This window comes from Homo sapiens, chromosome 14 (genome assembly GCF_000001405.40).
Source record: "Homo sapiens chromosome 14, GRCh38.p14 Primary Assembly".
Classification (NCBI taxonomy): Eukaryota; Metazoa; Chordata; class Mammalia; order Primates; family Hominidae; genus Homo; species Homo sapiens.
This window is the reverse complement of record NC_000014.9, coordinates 22387913-22404875: the sequence shown is the minus strand read 5'-3', so window position 1 is coordinate 22404875 and position 16963 is coordinate 22387913. Positions and strand designations below refer to the sequence as shown.

The window sequence follows — 16963 nt, the reverse complement described above, 5'->3', positions numbered from 1 at the left end:
GCCCTAGGTAACACTTTGATGGCAGCCTGATGAGAGACCTTGAGCCAGAGGATGCAGCTAAGCCACACTTGGATTTTTTGACCCACGGAAACTGAGATAATAAATGTTGTTCTGAGCCTCTAAGTTCTGAAGTGATTTGTATGTGACAATAGATAACTAGTATACCCACCCTGAAATACCCTTCCTTTTCCTTCCTGCTTATCCAACTCCTGCCTCTTTTAAGCTTCAGCTATTCTAAGACAATTTTCTTAATGTGGTATATATACTAAACAGTTATGAAAAAGAATGAAATAATATATTTTGCAGCAACATGGATGGAACTGAAGGTCATTATCCTAAGTAAAATTTCCTAGAAATAGAAAGTTAAATACTGTGTGTTCTCACTTATAAGTGGGGGCTAAACGATGTGTACACATGGACATGCAGAGTAGAATAATAGACACTGAAAACTCCAATAGGTCGGGAGGTGGGAGGGGAGTGAGGGTTGAAAAATTACCTATTGGGTACAATGGTTACTATTTGGGTGATGGGTACACTAAAAGCCCAAGCTTCACCTCTACGCAACATATGCAAGTAAGAAATTTGCGCTTGCACTAAGTATATACAAATAAATTTTTTTTTACAAAAGCAAAAAAGGTTTTAAAAAACATTTCTCTTCTTTTTTTTGAGTCAGGGTCTCACTCTTTCACCCAGGCTAGAGTGCAGTGATGTGACGATAGCTCACTGCAGTCTCGAACCTAAGAAATTTTCTTATAGCAATTGGTCCTTTCATAAACTCCTAGAGCACTGCACATGAAATCACTAACCCTCATTATCATATGTGCCGTTATATTTTTGTATTCTTTGTAATCTTTAATTGTACTTTCTAATGCCCTGTCTTTTAAAAATAAATGGAAAACACATTGGTGAGAATAGAACTTTGAATAGAACTTGCCTTAGAACTTTGCTATTCCCATGACCCATTCCAATACCACGAACAGTAAGTACCCTATAAAAAATATGTGATGAAGATAATAGTGCACTGGAAGAAATGTTGAATAGAAGATATCAGGAGGGTTGACTTTTAGTTGTAATTTTTACGTTATGTCCTAATGCCCGAATTTTAACCTTAGGTGGAGAGAGGATGCCAGACAGATATTTGAGCAGAACAAAGAGAGCCAACAGGATGAAGGCATTCCCTGGGTGAGTGTTTAATGTTTGTATCTTTAAGCGCCTCTGCCTACTTGTCTCCTTAGTGGATTCCTCCAGGAGTTTTCTCCCTGCGGTCTCAGACCTTCTTGGCTTACCCATTTCAACTTGAGACTTGGGAATAAAAATTTTTATTTTAATTTAGTTGACCCATGCTCAACTCAGAAATTCCACATTACCACAGGTATTTGTCTCTAAGCTCTCTCTCAGCAACTGGCATGAAGGAAGCCTGTGCATTTCCCCTTCCTGCTCACCCCTACGGATCCCCAGGACTCTTCGGCAGCTAAGGGAAGATATAAAACACTCAATACCTGAAATAGTTGTGGAAACATTTCAGAAAATGACTCTATTCATCCTTCTTCACAGAGTAAGAATTAAAGCTATCTCTAAAAGCTTTGGAAATTTTGATTAGGATGGTAATGGAAAACCATCCTTGCTTTATCTGACTTATGCACATGAACACTTTCACAATAAAGACTGCAATGAGCTACAGCACTCATGATAGTAAAAGTTCTGTTTATCTCAGCCTGCCTCCACAATGAGAGGGCCTATTCAGTATTAAAAGCTGTTATTTTCAACCTTTCTTCAGGAGCCTGTGAGAGACAGGTGCAGCACCCCACCCCCCACCCCCAACATCTCTCCACAAAAATCCTAACAGCCTTTCCTGCCCTCTTCAACTGATAAAGAAGGCCCCTCTAAGCCAACTGCAAAGATAAGCCCCTTGCCCCCACTTCAACTCCTGGCCTCTTTTATCAGATGTTACTGTTGGAATGATCGGGCAGCCTCATCTCAGGTGTGGTGCACATTTTAGATGTAGGAAAGTGTTGTGTTCAACACTTTAGCCACATAAAATACTTGCAGGTTCAAAGATGTGTCATAGACTTCCAGATGCTCAGTTTTTACACTGGCTTCTCCTTCTTCCTGGAAAAGCCATACCATCCTTCTTCTCCCTTCTTTAACTCCACCTGAGGGAGGCGTTCCCCTGGCCCCCTGCCATGTTGGGCCATGACACTTATCACCTCTATTCTCTGATAATCTGTTTGTTTCCTGCATTGAACTTTAAGAGTACTTAGAACATAAACAGTACCTTATTTATATTTGCATTCCTAATGTCCAGTGCAGAGCTGGTCAATATTAGGAACTCACAGATATTTGCTAGTCCAGGCAGGATTTCTAGACGCCCCAACTCTCAAGGAACCAAGAGGGTTGGTTGCTTATCTAGTGAAGACTGAGATTAGGAAAGAATTTGCCAGCAACTCAGGATAAAACATGGGAAATCCAGGTCTTTTATCCACTGTTTTAGGTGCAGGGAGAAGTGGGGCACTCTGCAGCAGGTGGTACCTCCCACTTGGATAGAACCTGCTAGGTACCTAGAGCAAGGTGCCTCCCACTTGGATAGAACCTGCTTGTAATAGCTTGTGGCTCACTGCCTAGGTGGTATCAGTGCCCATATTACCTACATGTAAATGGAGCACTGACTTTGCAGGTCTACTAGCCCATGGTTTTGAATCTTGCTTTGTGACTTACCAGTAGCGGGACAAATTACAACTCTGAGTCTTGATTTCCTTATTTGCAAATGGGGTAATTATAGTTACCTTGCAGGGATGCTGTGAGGTTGAAATGAGAGAACACTTGTGAAGGGCTTATTCCTGTGCCAGGTACTCATTTGTAAGCCCTCCACAGATATTGGCTTCTTTGCCTTGTCTTTTCTTCTTTGCCATGGTGGGGTTAGTGACCTGGTCATAGCCCCCTGCCTGAGCCATAGTTACCAGGAGAGACACAGAACTTGTTATTTCAAGGCTGGCACAGAACATTCCTCTGAGGGAAACAGCAGTCTGTTGAGCCATGTTAGGCTGCCGTAGGACTTGGGTAGATAAATGAATGAGCTGAGTGGAGCCGTGTCAGAGACATATGGGCAGTATCAATCTACTGTGCCCTTTGGCAAAGGACTGTCTCTGGCAGCTTAGGATGGAAGACACATAAAAGTTAGACCCCAGTCTTCTTTGTCTATACAGGATAAAGAAAGGATGGGAGGACTTTAAGAAGAGAAAAGATGCCAAGGTCAAATCAAATTAACCCCATATCGGCTACTATGCGTGCCCAGTTTAATGCCATTCTCTGATGGTCTCTGCCACTCTGGGGTCTTTGATATAAAATATTTACCCATAGTATTACTTCAATATAAATGGGAGTCAGTGCCAGAACTTCTGATTTTCTCACTCATTGGAAGTTTTAGAACTATTTTTCCTTTGATTTGAGAATACATTCATTCTTTCCCTATCCTCTTTGAGTTTTATGGGTGAAAAAAAGATAAATTTGGCAAAGAAAAGCCCTTTCCTTGCTTTATCTCTTATTCGTAACCCTCAAACTCCTCACCTAAAGCCTTAGTAATGGCAAAGTCTTTCCCTGATGGGTGCCCAGGATTCACCTCTACCTAGGCAGAGTGCTTATCAGCTGTTTCTCCTGTTCCTAATTGCTTTCTTTGCTTTATGGTTTCTCTGCTGTGTCTCCAGCTGGTTGGACAAGCAACTGAAGAACAGGAACAGAAGTGAATGAAAAGAGAAGATGCTGTGTTTGTGTTTTCTCTTGGTTAGAATGCTGTGAGTCAGGACCTTAGCTGCTGGGTGTCCTGGGACTGCCTTCGGTAAGTAAACGATTCTTCTTCTCAGTCTAGCTGATTTGGGCTCAGAATGCTCAGATGGCTGGAATTAACTTTGTTTCTCTGATTTGTTCTACTGAAATGTCTGGGCCTCACTGGATGTTTTAAAACAACATAAGATATTTTTGGAAATTAGTGAGGAATTTCAATGGGTGTCAGGAAAAATCACAGTGTCATTTGTCTCTAAAAAAATTTTGGCTGCCAATAGTCCATCTGTGACTCACTTTCCCAGCTGTGTGCCACCAAAGGAAGCAGCTGCTGAGCAAAACAGCATAGAAGCAAGTGGGGCCTTTCTCGAGTTGTAATTCTGCTTCTGTTACTGACTTGGGAACTTGGGATGTAAATAAACAAACTTTTTCATATCTAGTCTCAGCTCAGGATTTAATTCCTTTAGCATGTCTTCTTGGCTCCCATCACCTAACTCATCCTGAAATTGAAATATTCTAATTTCAATCTGTACTTTCCTCCTGGAACACCCCCATAATTATTACAACCAAGTATTTCTCTTGTTTCCACAAGCATCTGATTTGGGTCCTCTATTAGACTGTAAGCCCTGCTACGGTATGAGTTACACAGTGGAAGAAGGCTTGGATCTTGGCATGGGATACAGCACATAGCAAACACTAATATATACATGATTGAATACAAAAATGCCACTTCTGTACCCTGAGATTTATGGATACTTGATGAACACTTGTTAGCTAGTTAAACCTTCTTGCTCACTTTTTCTTCTATGACTGTCCTCCAAGGCTTGCATGGGGAGATTGGAGGGCTCCCAGTTCGATTATGAGATGGTTGGGGCAGAGACTCTCAAATATTCCATCGACTCCACCATAATTTTTGCTTTGCTTCTTATGGATCATTACCACAAAACCTGCCCCTGGGCAGTGCTCACCAATCAATGCATGGTTCTGTAATGACTTTGTTCTTCTACCCCTAAACTTTTCTTTACCTTCAGTAGAAGCTGGTTTTGAAAAAGAAGAAAGACAATTTCTCCCACTGGGACTTTTAGCATGGAGTAATGAATGACAGAATCAGAGATGTGAATGACAGATAGAGCTGCATTTCCCTATTGCATGTGACGTGGCATTAGTCTTTGAATGTTGGCTCTCGGAGGAATTACTAAGTAGTTCCTTACTGGCAGAGTATACAGCAGGGTTACCAGAGTTGTAAGTGTCCTGTAGGAAACCTGAGTGCCCCATGTTAACATTCAGCAGTTCTGGCTCTGAGGTGCCCTGGGGAAGGGCAAGCTCAGGAGGAATAGGGACTCAGTCACTCACCAAATATCCCCGAGTCTCTGCCTGTCCCATGAGGGTTAAGACTTTGAAATCTGACCCCAAAACCAAATTTTACAAAGGATCCTTCCCCAACTCTTTATTCCAAGAAGAATTTCCCATTTTGTGTTATCCCATGTCCCTGAAGGGCTGTTCTTGGGGGGCTAACCGTGCTGATAAACCCATATGTTGGCTGCAAATGAGAAAGCTAGCAAGATAGCAGGGGATTTGTGTTCCCACTAATGAATAAAACACAGAATCCGAATTAGCAGGAGACCCTGCGTCTTCAGAAAAGAAAACAGAGAAGACAGTCCTCACTTACCCCCAGTTCTCAGCTCAGCAGTTCACACCATCGAGTTTCCATGGCTGGGGCCTTGAATAAGCAGAGGCTGAAGTGGAGGTGTCTTTTAGAGCCTCCTCACTTCTGGAGTCTTGGACTGATCCTGACTTCCCAGTTTTTGAGGATGACACAACGTCAGGCATACTGTGACTTTGACTTGATTTGTTATCTTCTTGGAGGTGGAAACTTTTTCAGGTCATCTACTATGCCTTTTATGTTGATAGAACAAATATTTTACTTCAAAAATATGTGCATAAACAACTTTAATTTTACTTTTGGCTTTAAATTTATACATTATTCCACTATTCTATTCATTTAATGAGTGGGGTTACTGTTGTATTTTAATATCTCGCAAAGCCTATATTTGCTTATTTTATGATGGTCAAGCAGAAATTACTTTCCTCTGTTTTTTTTTTTTCTACATAGGAAGCCCTCAATAATTTATTGCCATCCAGGAAAAAGGTCCTGAAGGCCTTTTGAATTGTATTTCTCTGAATTTCCATTGATATTTACTTCTTACTAGATAGGATACTAATGTAGAAAATAATGTTTAATTGTTCAAGAGACTGACATTTCTTATCAACAACTTCCTAAAGGCTCAACCCAGCCCAACACAGGGGAAATTTAGTAATCATCCTCAGGATATTATCACACTCAAAAGCAAAAGTAGTTAATACTCACTGAGTGCTTTTCATGTTCCAAGCTTTGCTCTGAATACAGTAACATGTGCTATAGGTCACTTAATTCCTGCAACAATCCCCTGAGGTAGGTGTTATTGTAATCATTATTTTATAGATGAGGAAAGCAAGGCAAAAAGTAAATTGCCCAAGGTCACATAGCTATTGAGTCAGTAAATGGAAGGTCTGGAATTCAAAACTCAAGAAGTCTGGCTTTAAAGTCTGAACTTGAGCTCAGTCCTTTTATGATGCTTCTTACAGCTTGCCTGTCTATGTATCCATTCATCTATCATCTATCTATAAATTTACTGTACATATCATGTATACATAGATATTTAATATTTTTTCAGGCTTTTAGAAATGTTGGTAAGTTAAGGGTATGTCATTAAGATGTTAATTGCTGGCCTTAATTTTGTATGTGTGTGCAATTCATTTGTCCTTCTGTGTATCAAAGACTACTTTTATTTGTCAGCTGGAAGATTCAAGTAATTATACAGGATTTAATTTTAATTTCTCATGGTTTAGCAACATAAAAGTGAGGAGATTGTACCTGCTGAATACATTTTATTATTTGAGAAGTGTTTGTTATATATGTTGGTATCCTTCACAATACTCAGTACATCAATTTGAAAGCCTTAAGGGACTTTTAGTTTGGAATGAATGAATCGATGATGCATTCAAGATGCAAGTTTAAGATGACACTAAACACCCTGTGTGTTGTTGGTGGATCTTTTGAATTTTCTGTGTTGAGGCTGCTTGAGGCTTACAGTGTTTGTTCAGTGTGATATCCAGCATGCATCATGGTGCCCACAGTGCACAGCAGTAAATGGCTCAGTCTCTTGGCTGCACATGCTTAAGGATTCGGGTTCTGGAGAACAATTTTCTGTCCACAGACAACTAGCAGTGCTCTGATTCCAGGGTGCCTTGAAAGGATAGCAGATATAGGTAAACCTTTGGTTAGCTCTTTGCAGATGCCAGCACAAAGAATCATAATTCCCATCAGGAATGTTATATTAGCGTTGGAACTTGACATCTGTCCCAATCATTGTGGCCATGTTGGAAGGCTGTGTGATTTCAGTCTTGCAGGAGCCATCTGGCAAAGAAAAAAATGATAGAAAATGAGAAATGAGAAGTGGTGGGGAATCACACCCGTTTACCTGGGGGCCACTTACAGAGGAAGGGCAACGCAGTGTAGAGAAGCTGGTACACGGCGTGTCTGCGATTCTCAGTGCTGTGCACCAGCAGCCTACATTGCATGCACAATGCACTTGGGCCACCTTATCTACAACAGCCATGTGGCTGCTTCATTGCTGAAGCAATAAAAGAAAGAGGTCCTTGGGGGTGGTTGATGCTGATGCTATCAAAAGACACACTCAGATTTGTTGAAAGGCTGCAATCCAACAGGCTCCTCAGAGGAGGCTCTGGTGCCCTCTGCCACTCAGGGCCTGTGTTTTCAGCATATGGTGCCATTCGCTTATCAGCCCCAGGAGGCTTATTCTCTGAAAGGAAACAGCCAGGAAAATAGTCTTTTGTTGAAAGACACTTGGTGGGTCATGATCTCTTGGGTCCTTGTTCCTGAATTTCAGGAATCTAAGATGCCCAGAAGGATGAGCAAAGGTAGAAACAGTCATTTTTCCAAGTGGACTGTGGCTTCTATTGCCTATCTGACAGTTTCTAGTACTCAGACTCACTCTTCAGAAGCCAGACAGGGAGAAAGTATTTTGCTCATTTTAAATTAATCAATTAATTGATTAATCAATCAACCGTTCATTCAGCAAGTGTTTATTGAGTGCCAAGTATATACAAACCTTCTGCTGAATGCTGAGGATACAATGGAAAAAAAAATCAGCTGAAATTTCTGCCATCATGGAGCTGGAAATCTGGTAATGATGCATAACTTTAGGCAAGAGAAGCAGGTACAGCCTGTTAGATTCTGTATATGATTCTGGGCAAGGGTAAGGTGAGGGCCTTCTGGAGTCTGTGCATATTCAGGCAGGACTTTTCCCCAGTCAGCAGAGCTGGTTGTGAGCTCACTATGGAGGGACCAAGGCTGGAATTTTCCCTGGCAACCCATGCCAAGTTCAAGAGTCAGAAGGTTGCTTTCCTGCCCACCTTCTTTCATAGCCATTTTCCCACCAAGAAATTATTCTATTTGTTGACAAAGTTTTGGAGTTCCTGACTTAGCACTGTTATTCTATTCTTGGAGCAGAATCAGCTTGGCTGCTATTGTTCCCACTGTGAGGATAACTGCATCTTTTGTGTGATGGTTTTCTTTTCACTGTGTACACAATGATTGCAGAGCCATAAAATTTTAATTTGGGATAAATAATAAGCTATCTTTAGGGCCAGTCTTATTTTGGGAGTTGGGACTGATGGAGGTCAAGGATCCTTTCTTTTTTCTTGCCTTTCTCAAAATCTGTACCCCCACCCCTGCCACTCTCCTACTTCATCTCTTTCCTTCTCTGTCTTTCAAGATCACATATCTTTCTGCAAAATACACTCATGAACAATTTTAAAGGGAGAGCAGGACAATGGACAAAGGAATAAGGAGACATTCACCCCAAGATGCCTGGACTTAGGGTTACACAGAATTGAGCTGGTGACAACTGTGACTGCACAGATACACCATAGACATGTGCACGAGGAGTGTTGGTGGCATGGCTGTAGGTGTGCCCACACCAGAGCAGGTGGGGTGGCATTGGTGGCCAGAGGCTTGCCCATGGCAGTGTGGATGGTGTTTGTGACAGTGGAGCTGGTTGGGAAGATGTATGTGTGCTGCACGGTGGCCCTGGACAGGCCTACCCAAGACTCCCAGGAAGGCTGTCTTTGCTGTTGGGGGAATGTTGTACTTGAAGCCATTTTACTGGGCTGGGGTGCCAACTGGATAGGGAGGTCAAGGATTTAGAATATTTTCCCTGGATCTGGGTTTCCTTGTTCCAAATCTGAAGACAGGGGAAAAGATTATTCAGAGAAGAAAAAGAATATAGATGTTTGGCTTTTATTTCTTATTCAATCAGTGATCAAATGGGCACAGACAAAGTAGTTGGGTGCTTATTCACACGAACAGCTTTATAAATAAGAGGAGTGGGCAACTATGTAATGATTTTTGAGGGTCCCGAGAAGACCACTGCCCCCAAATCTCCTCTATTGGTACCTGGCATTCTGCCACTGGAGATTAAGCCTTTGGACCATAGAAACATAAAAGCATTCCTGGAAGGATTGACACCTTAAGCCTTAATGGACAAATGAGTAAGGACTGATTTCTAATGGTAAGACCTTGGGGCTTGGGAACTAGGGAATCTTCCAGTACATAGCCAGGATGTCGGGAAGAGACAATCTCTCCCTTTTCTTTCATTCCCACATATCATTTATCTATTTTTGAGGTGTTTCTTAAATCTGTTTTCTCTTTCCAAGTCCTTCTGATCCTTCTCAATGTCTACCTCAGTTTCATATTAACTTTACATCTGATCTCATTGTTTCCGGTCTTGGAACCAGTCTTCCCACCCATAGTAATCTTTCCAAGCACTCTTTGAAGCACATTTCCTCTTATATGCCTGTGATTTCTGCCCATTTCCCATATAACAGAATCTAGTCCCTTAATGTGATTCACAAAAGCTTTCTCAGTCAAGCCACAGCCCACCACTCCCACCACTCCACTGCCCCAACTCAGGCAGACTCAACTCTCACCAAGTGATCACTGTTCCCCAAGCACAGTTCTATATCCCTCCTGGACATTGCTCAAGCTGTACTCCCTCTGCCCGCCATGTCCTTCTCCAATCCCTCATTTGTCAAAATCATTCATCCTTTAAGTCACTTTAACTAAAACTTCCATGGGGAGGATTTCCTAGTCCTCCTGAACCAAGCTAATTTCCCCTCCTTTGGGCAACTGTGCATTGTACTCTGACCAACATTTGTCACGGTCTGACTTCAGAAATTCATGACATAAAAGTCTATATATGTCTCCCATTGGAAACCACATACTCCTCCCATTCTCTCACTGGCTTTGTGAAGGTCCATTTCTAAAAGATAGGTTTCTTAGGGAATTGATTTTCAAGAGGCTGCCAGGGTGCTCTATCCAAGACACAGATGATTCTTAGAAGTCTCATCTGAATCCTGTAGGCAAACTGCTGGACTTTGAACAGAACTTGAAAGAAAGTTTTCTGGTTGGATAATTTCTGGTGAATGACCTGAAAGCCCTGGCTCCCACACCAGAAATAGTTGGGATTCACAGTCCTTATTGGAGTCCTCAGTGTTCAACAAAGTAGCGTAATGTGATCATTTCCCCAGGGATAACCCAATGGGTGCAGTTTGGAAGGACTAACCAAGATTCCATGCTCTGCCACAGCAGCATAAACAGGGCTGCTTAGTTTTGGAATTATAAGAAAGGACTATGGTCTCAAGGGAAGCAATCTCAGACACTTCTTGCCCGGGCAAAAGTTAGTGTCAGTAGGAACTGGGAAAGATTCTGGGCTTTTTGGAATCCCAAGACAGGAGGGTCTGTGGCCTGCCATCAGTGTTAAACCTGGACATCAGGCCTGGCATCAGGCCTTAGGTATTATCCACTCACCGAGCCTTGGACCTGGAAATCACAGCCCTGATGCAGGTCTGTATTTGAATGCAGGGAGCTGACCCTGGACACTTCCTGCCTATGGAGTCTTATGTATTGACTGCCAATCTCCTCTCTTAGGGAAATTTCTGTACATTGTTTTTTGCGGGTATAGAACAGAGATTTTGCCCTAGAAACCCATCCCTTACTCACACCAAAGGCATCCTGAGCAAGACATACTAATAGGACATGCTTCACCTATGATCAACTCACCTCCCATTGGGCAGTGACAGAAAAATGTTATTTTAGAATGATTTTTTTCAATCTCTGTTTGCACTCAGGAAAGGTGTCAAAGGACACCTTTTTTTTTTAACAGCATTTTTATGAGAAGGATGAGGCCCATATACTCTGGGGACCTAGGTTTGAACTGTAGGGAGAGATTTGTTAGAAATTTTAATAATAGGGATAACTTATAAAAGCAGGATTTCCTTTTTTCTTTCTTTCTTTTTCCTTTGGCAGAGCTGCTCCTTGAAGATTGCTGACAGCATTGAATTTCTGTAGGTAAAGACCCTAGATGAACTTTGAGCACTCTTCTTCTGTTGAGAAAACTAGTTGAGAATGAGGTTATTCTCATTTCAAATAAACACTCACTCATTGTATTGGAGATTATGAAGTTATCATAAAACTGAAAACAGGTGTCGTGCATCAAAATAGTAAGTGTTCTGTTAGGAAAATTAAATGGTGTCTGTTTAGTTAGAATGAGGGGCATATTTTTCCCAAGTGTGAATTTAGTTAGGGCTGTTGATGTCACACACATAGTGTTAGAAGATCTAATAAGACAGTTGAGCACCAGGTTTGCTTTGTCGGGGTCATGAAGGTCGGGCCCCGTCTGAGAAGGTGGAGGGGCAGGTAGAGCGCTTCCCTGGAGGAAATGTTTTTTCTCACTGTCAATCATCCCAGGGCAGGAAAAGAACTAGTCTTGGACTGAGAAGAAAAAATCTCCTCTGCTCTCTGCACTTGGAGATATGGAGATGCCTGCAGACTTCTACCGGGCGCCTTGAGCTGGTCTTTGCTATGCGTAAGCCTGCCTGGAGGTAGAAAGAGTCTCAAGTTGGGTTTTGGGTCTCAAAATGTGCTCTTCTTTCTTCCTCAAACATTTAGCAGTGCTTTGAATGATTAAGAGAGTAGACCATGTCCACCTGACATGGGATCCATTGTGGTGAAGGTAGAGGGGAGAGCAGCCTGGAGAAAAGTCTCACAAGATGATGAAAGATGGCCTGAAGAAGAGCTCTGGCTCCATGGAACTGTCAAGCCCCGTGGGGACCCACTGTGGCACATGAAATGCCCACAAATCACTTGGGGACATCACGGATACTCAATATTCCACATGATGAGCCCGCAGGTTCTTGTAAATTGAATATTAATGAAATAGTGTCTGTATTTTGTAATCCACAGGCTGGTGAGGTCTGAGGACACATGGATGACACAATGAAGGACTTCCTAAAAATAAGAGACCTGAAACTCTTGAAGTGGTGTTTGAAATAACATTTGTACAATGACAACCACTGATTTAATTAACCACCTGACCATCCTTAGTTGTCTTTAAGACTAAGAATGCTCAGCAACTGATTAATGATTTAAACTTTGGGTGTCATAAGAGCTAGAAAACAACAACAAATCTGAAAATGGCCAGTTCCATTTTATACATATGTATCCATACACGCATTCATCCATTTATTCATCCAGCAAGTATTTGTTGCCAAACACTGTGCTTGCTACAGGAATGCAGACCTTACTAAGACATTACCCTCCAGGGGCTTACATCTGAGTGAGTGAAGACAGGTAGGAATCTGCATCCCCTAGTCAGAGACACAGATTGTTTCTGGTTAATGACACAGTTAGGCAAGCACCCCGCTCAGTTTCTTTCCCAGGGGATTGTGTCACCCATGAAACCAGATGTGCTTTTCCGTGAGCTACCTTTTATTCCTATGATCCCGTGTGGGGGAGATGCTGTAATAGACCTAGCTGTTCTGCTAGCCTATGGGCGCTCCACTGGTCCTTGGTTTTGGCTTCCAACCAGAGGCTGCTTCCTGAAATGACAGGCAAGGTTGAGACAAAGATGGAGCGGAGCACCTAGAGTGCTTTGGCTGGTCCAGCATTGCCCTCCAGTGTTCAAATGCAGGAAAGTGGGAAACAATGAATTCTTAGCATGAAGTCCTGAGATGGCTGTCTGTGGATTAATGAGGGGGTTCCGGGTGGCTCCCCCAGATGAGGGGTGGGAAAACAGAAATTGGGAGCCAGAGTTGAGAAATAAAAGTGAGGATTAAGATTCATTAATGACAGGGCACCTTGAGAGATAGGCATAGAGAGAAATAGAAACAAAGACCCTGTCAGTTTCCTAACTTGGATTTTGTCAGGAGAAACAGCAATTGTCCAGCAAGATGACCAGGCTCCCCTGGAGATTAGAAAGCATGGTGGTGGCAGTGGAGGACTGGTTGCCTAGAGCTGTATATCCAGTCTTCTCAGTCCACCCTTTTCAAGGTTCTAGGGAGACTTTGATCTAGAATTATTACCTCCAGGTTCAGGGGCAGTCCAGGAAAGAGCACAAATCTCCTGAAATAAAATTGGAGGGAAACATTTGTGCATAACAAACCTTTTTCATTAGATTTGCAAAGAGATCTAGGTCATAAGAAGGTAAGTCTGCATTTTTCCTGGGACTTAAATGTTTTCAGTCTCCTGTCTTACATCTAGGTAGTTCATTAACTCAGCCTTGGAGGGAGGTTTTCTTAACCTCAGGGAGTTCCCCCAGTTGGGTCAATGTCACTGAGATGTCCAGCACAGCAGGACGCTGTCTTGCCTCCCAGATCATGGATCTATATGAGTCAAGGCTGAAGTAGCCTTGGCAGCCAATCTGCTCTTGGCAAAACCTGAAACTAGTACAATGTTTGCGTCTTTCGTTTTGTTTCACCTTTGCACACCTAGATCACCTAGATCACCACTTATCTTATGGTGTCATGGAAACAATGGAGCTTCAGCCCCACCCCAAATCTTCCCCTGCTTTATTTCTTCTAGTTGACCTATGACTTGACTTACTGAACCTTCATCAAGCTTGAAATCCTCTCTGTTCCTGCCCCTGTTGCTCTCCTACCTTGTTCCTCTGCAAAGATAGAGAAATGAGTCAGAGAAACTTCCTGATCACGTTAAAAAACAAATAAAATACCTGATGACTAGTTCAGGAGCTGGGTAACTACAGCATAATGTATAAAAGGTTGAATTGCTCACATAATTGTCTGTAAAGTTCAAGCAGCTTAGGCCTTTCTGTAGAAGACCTCAGTCTTTACCCTATGCACAATTCAAACTGTGGTTCAAGTGCAGGAGGACTGAGAGTACGACACTGAGGATACCTTAGTGACAGGGCTCTTGGAAGACACCACAGTTATAGTAACTCTGCATGTGTGTGTGTAGCACTGTGTGCATGAGTGTGCGGTAAAAATGAAGCTTTGCGAAGTGAATAACTATGTCTTTCCTGCACTATCTCATAACCCCAGTGCCTCCAACAGAGTAAGCACTTGCTTATAAGCATATTGCCCCATAGTACAGTGGTTAAGAGATGATGCTTTGGAATCCAACCATCTAGAATTGTAGCTCTTCTACCATAGTTGTTCAATCTTAAGAAAGTTTCTTAGCCTTTCTGACCTTAGGTTCCTCATCCATAAAACAGGGATGCCTTCACTCCCACACCCAGAACGTCGATGAGGATTAGAGATGATGCATGTGAAGCCCGAGGCATTGTGCCTGACACGTGGTCACTGCTCAGTAAAGAGTAGCTGTTTATGCTATTTCCATGTGTGGGTATGTGCAGATCTCTGTGAGTGTATGAGAGCTTTTCATTTCAGAAAATGAAATGTGCAGGCATGGGGTGGAACTGATTCTCTCCTACATGTCCTTTGCCACTCCCTTCTATAACCGTGAAGACTTTGCTCAAGTTTCCAGGGACCAATGTGCTCTTGAACCCTGTCTGGAAGGGGAACACCTCTTGCATATAAATAAGCTTTCTGTTGAAATGGGCATGAAGGGACAGTGGCTGACCCTCCCCTTCTGCTGTGTGCCCTGATGCTCATTTGACCGTCAGCACCGCTGTCTTCTGCTGTGGACGATTGTGATCGACCCAGTCTTGGGAGCTGCCAATGCAACAGAGAATTAGAGCCTTTGTATTCAATCATCATTGAGAGCCTATTAGGAGGACAAGGTACCATGTGGCTACTCAAAAGGCTGAGAGTCTGGAAATGGCCATGACAGAGGAAAATCCTTTCACTTGGCTGATGGAGGCCAGGTCTATAGCTTTAAGGCAATTGGCACAGATGCTGAGCGAGGGGGGTGCATTCATTTTGTGCTCAATAAAACAACTTTTATTCAGGGATGTGAATTGTTATCTCCTCGGGAAAGGTGAAGGTACAGAAACAGGTTGTAATTCCTTGGAGAATCTAATTCCCTTGTAGCTGGAGACAGAAAGACAGTGAGAGGGAGGGAGAGAGATAGATGAAAGAAGCTCTGTTATCCTAGGAAGTCCTAGGTAATTACCCAGCCTGAATTTCTCCTGGAGCTTCAGGATGGTACCAGATGTGTCCAGGCCCTCTGTGCGCCACCCCACAGAGCTAGCAACCAGAGTCCGTCTCCTCCTCCCGTGGCTGTTCTTCATGTCTGGGAACACATCAAAGGAGGTTTGATGTTCATAACTGCTGTGAGTCATTTTCACATGGAGCTGCGGGGAGCTGCCTGTACTGCTGCATGCTGTATAGCCCTTTGTGAGCGCAGCTGAGCTGAACCAATCCCCTATTATGGGTGAGAGTAGATTCCTCCTGGGAGACCTGGATTGGGTCCACACCCCTGTGCAGAATAAAATAGGACTTCTTATTGAGAAGTAGTTATTAAAACATCCCTCAGTCTTGGCTATGCACCTACACTGCCCACAGGGACAGCTCTGCATGGTCCTTCCACAAGAGTGTGGCCACCTCCAGGCCCTGCTGTTAGTGCCAATAACATCTGAAGCCTCACTGTTTGCCTCACTCCGAGGACAAAGGACATCAACAAGACTCCAACCACCACCCCATTGCTTCTCAATTGGAGAAGGAAATTCTGCTTGCTCCTGTTGAGTTTGGCTGTTGCTGGAAAAAGTGTCCCATACAACTCTCTTTGAGGGCTGGCAGAGGACTGGGAAATTAGCCACAAGACTGTGAGCTGGAATGGGCCTTAGTCATCATCTGGTTCTAGTCCCTCAAATTACAGATGATAAGTGAGGCACAGAGAGGTTAAGCAAGTTGTCTAAAGTCACACAGACAAGTGAGGATTTCTAGCGCAGGAAGTAATTTTCTAAGAGGGGGAGAGAAATCCTGGTAGGGTGAATCTTGCTACTACATTTTCACTGGAGGATGCTTCAGAGGGTTGAATCTGTGGGAAAGCAATGGGGACCAGGAGAGCTGCAGCTGATCTCAGTTTTATACCTCAGTTTCTCTGTACGAAAAATGGCTGTATTATTTATCTTCATTTCAGGACTGTTAAGGGGCTTCATGAGTGACTCTGAGAAGTCCTGAGAGTTCTGGGCTTTCAGGTTAATAAGATAACAGTTTCTTGTTGGGCCTGAGACAAGGACTAGTTGCCTGGACTGAATAATCTGTTCTCTGTTCCTCAGCTACCCTGAAGGCCTTATGAAGCCCCTGGGTTTGGGAGTGTGGAAGAATTAAATAAAGGAATAGTCAGACTGAGTGGTGGGGTTGGAGAAAAGTGTGAGAAGTGGGGAAGTGGGCGCAATCCCTGCCTGCTCTGGACCTGGGAACACTCTCCCAAGAAAAAGTGTGTCTTCCGAGTGAGGCTGTTTCCTGCAGTCGGCAGGACTGGACTCCCTCCTTTTGTTTGGGGCAGCATGGAAACCGTGTTTCCCTATCTATGTGCACCTGAATGCACTCTAGTTATGCTGTATCTTTTCAATTTTGCTGGAGAAGCAAGTGTGGTTTGCTCTTTAAAATTCCCAGAGCTCCCTTTCCCATTTGGGATTTGTGGTGAAAGGTCAGACCGCAGAATTGTCTCGCGGTAATGGGGCTTCTGAATAAATGAGCCCCCGAGGGCTGCCAGGGGGACCAGAGAGCAGCAGACGCCTGCTGGGACTAAGCCCGGCAGCAGAAGCCACAGTGTCCCCCTGGCCACGGAAAAGTGGCCCCAGTGGGCTGCTCCTCATTTTCTGGCAATGTGCCCCATCCCCTGGCATGGTGAAGTCCCACGAGC

General features: G+C 43.3%; 1 long non-coding RNA gene and 1 further gene across 2 annotated transcripts in view, besides 1 other annotated feature; one reads left to right on the top strand and one right to left on the bottom strand.

Moving 5' to 3' along the window:
* TRA (T cell receptor alpha locus) overlaps positions 1 to 16963 on the bottom strand; it is a 930229-nt gene that overhangs the window by 147257 nt on the left and 766009 nt on the right.
* TRD-AS1 (TRD antisense RNA 1) overlaps positions 1 to 16963 on the top strand; it is a 103555-nt gene that overhangs the window by 78084 nt on the left and 8508 nt on the right. The window contains exons 2-3 of one of the 2 annotated variants that reach the window (NR_148362.1): positions 1113 to 1182; positions 3702 to 3832. The exons of the other annotated variant lie outside the window; for it this stretch is intronic. This is a non-coding gene — a long non-coding RNA (TRD antisense RNA 1). The remainder of the gene's footprint in view (positions 1 to 1112; positions 1183 to 3701; positions 3833 to 16963) is intronic. 2 annotated transcript variants of the gene reach the window in all.
* Positions 16366 to 16866: an enhancer, noted in NCBI's record as "H3K4me1 hESC enhancer chr14:22856413-22856913 (GRCh37/hg19 assembly coordinates)". NCBI's record gives its function as "activates a minimal SCP1, AML or CMV promoter by ChIP-STARR-seq in naive H9 embryonic stem cells {active_cell/tissue: H9 hESC(naive)}" and the evidence as "EXISTENCE:reporter gene assay evidence [ECO:0000049][PMID:30033119]".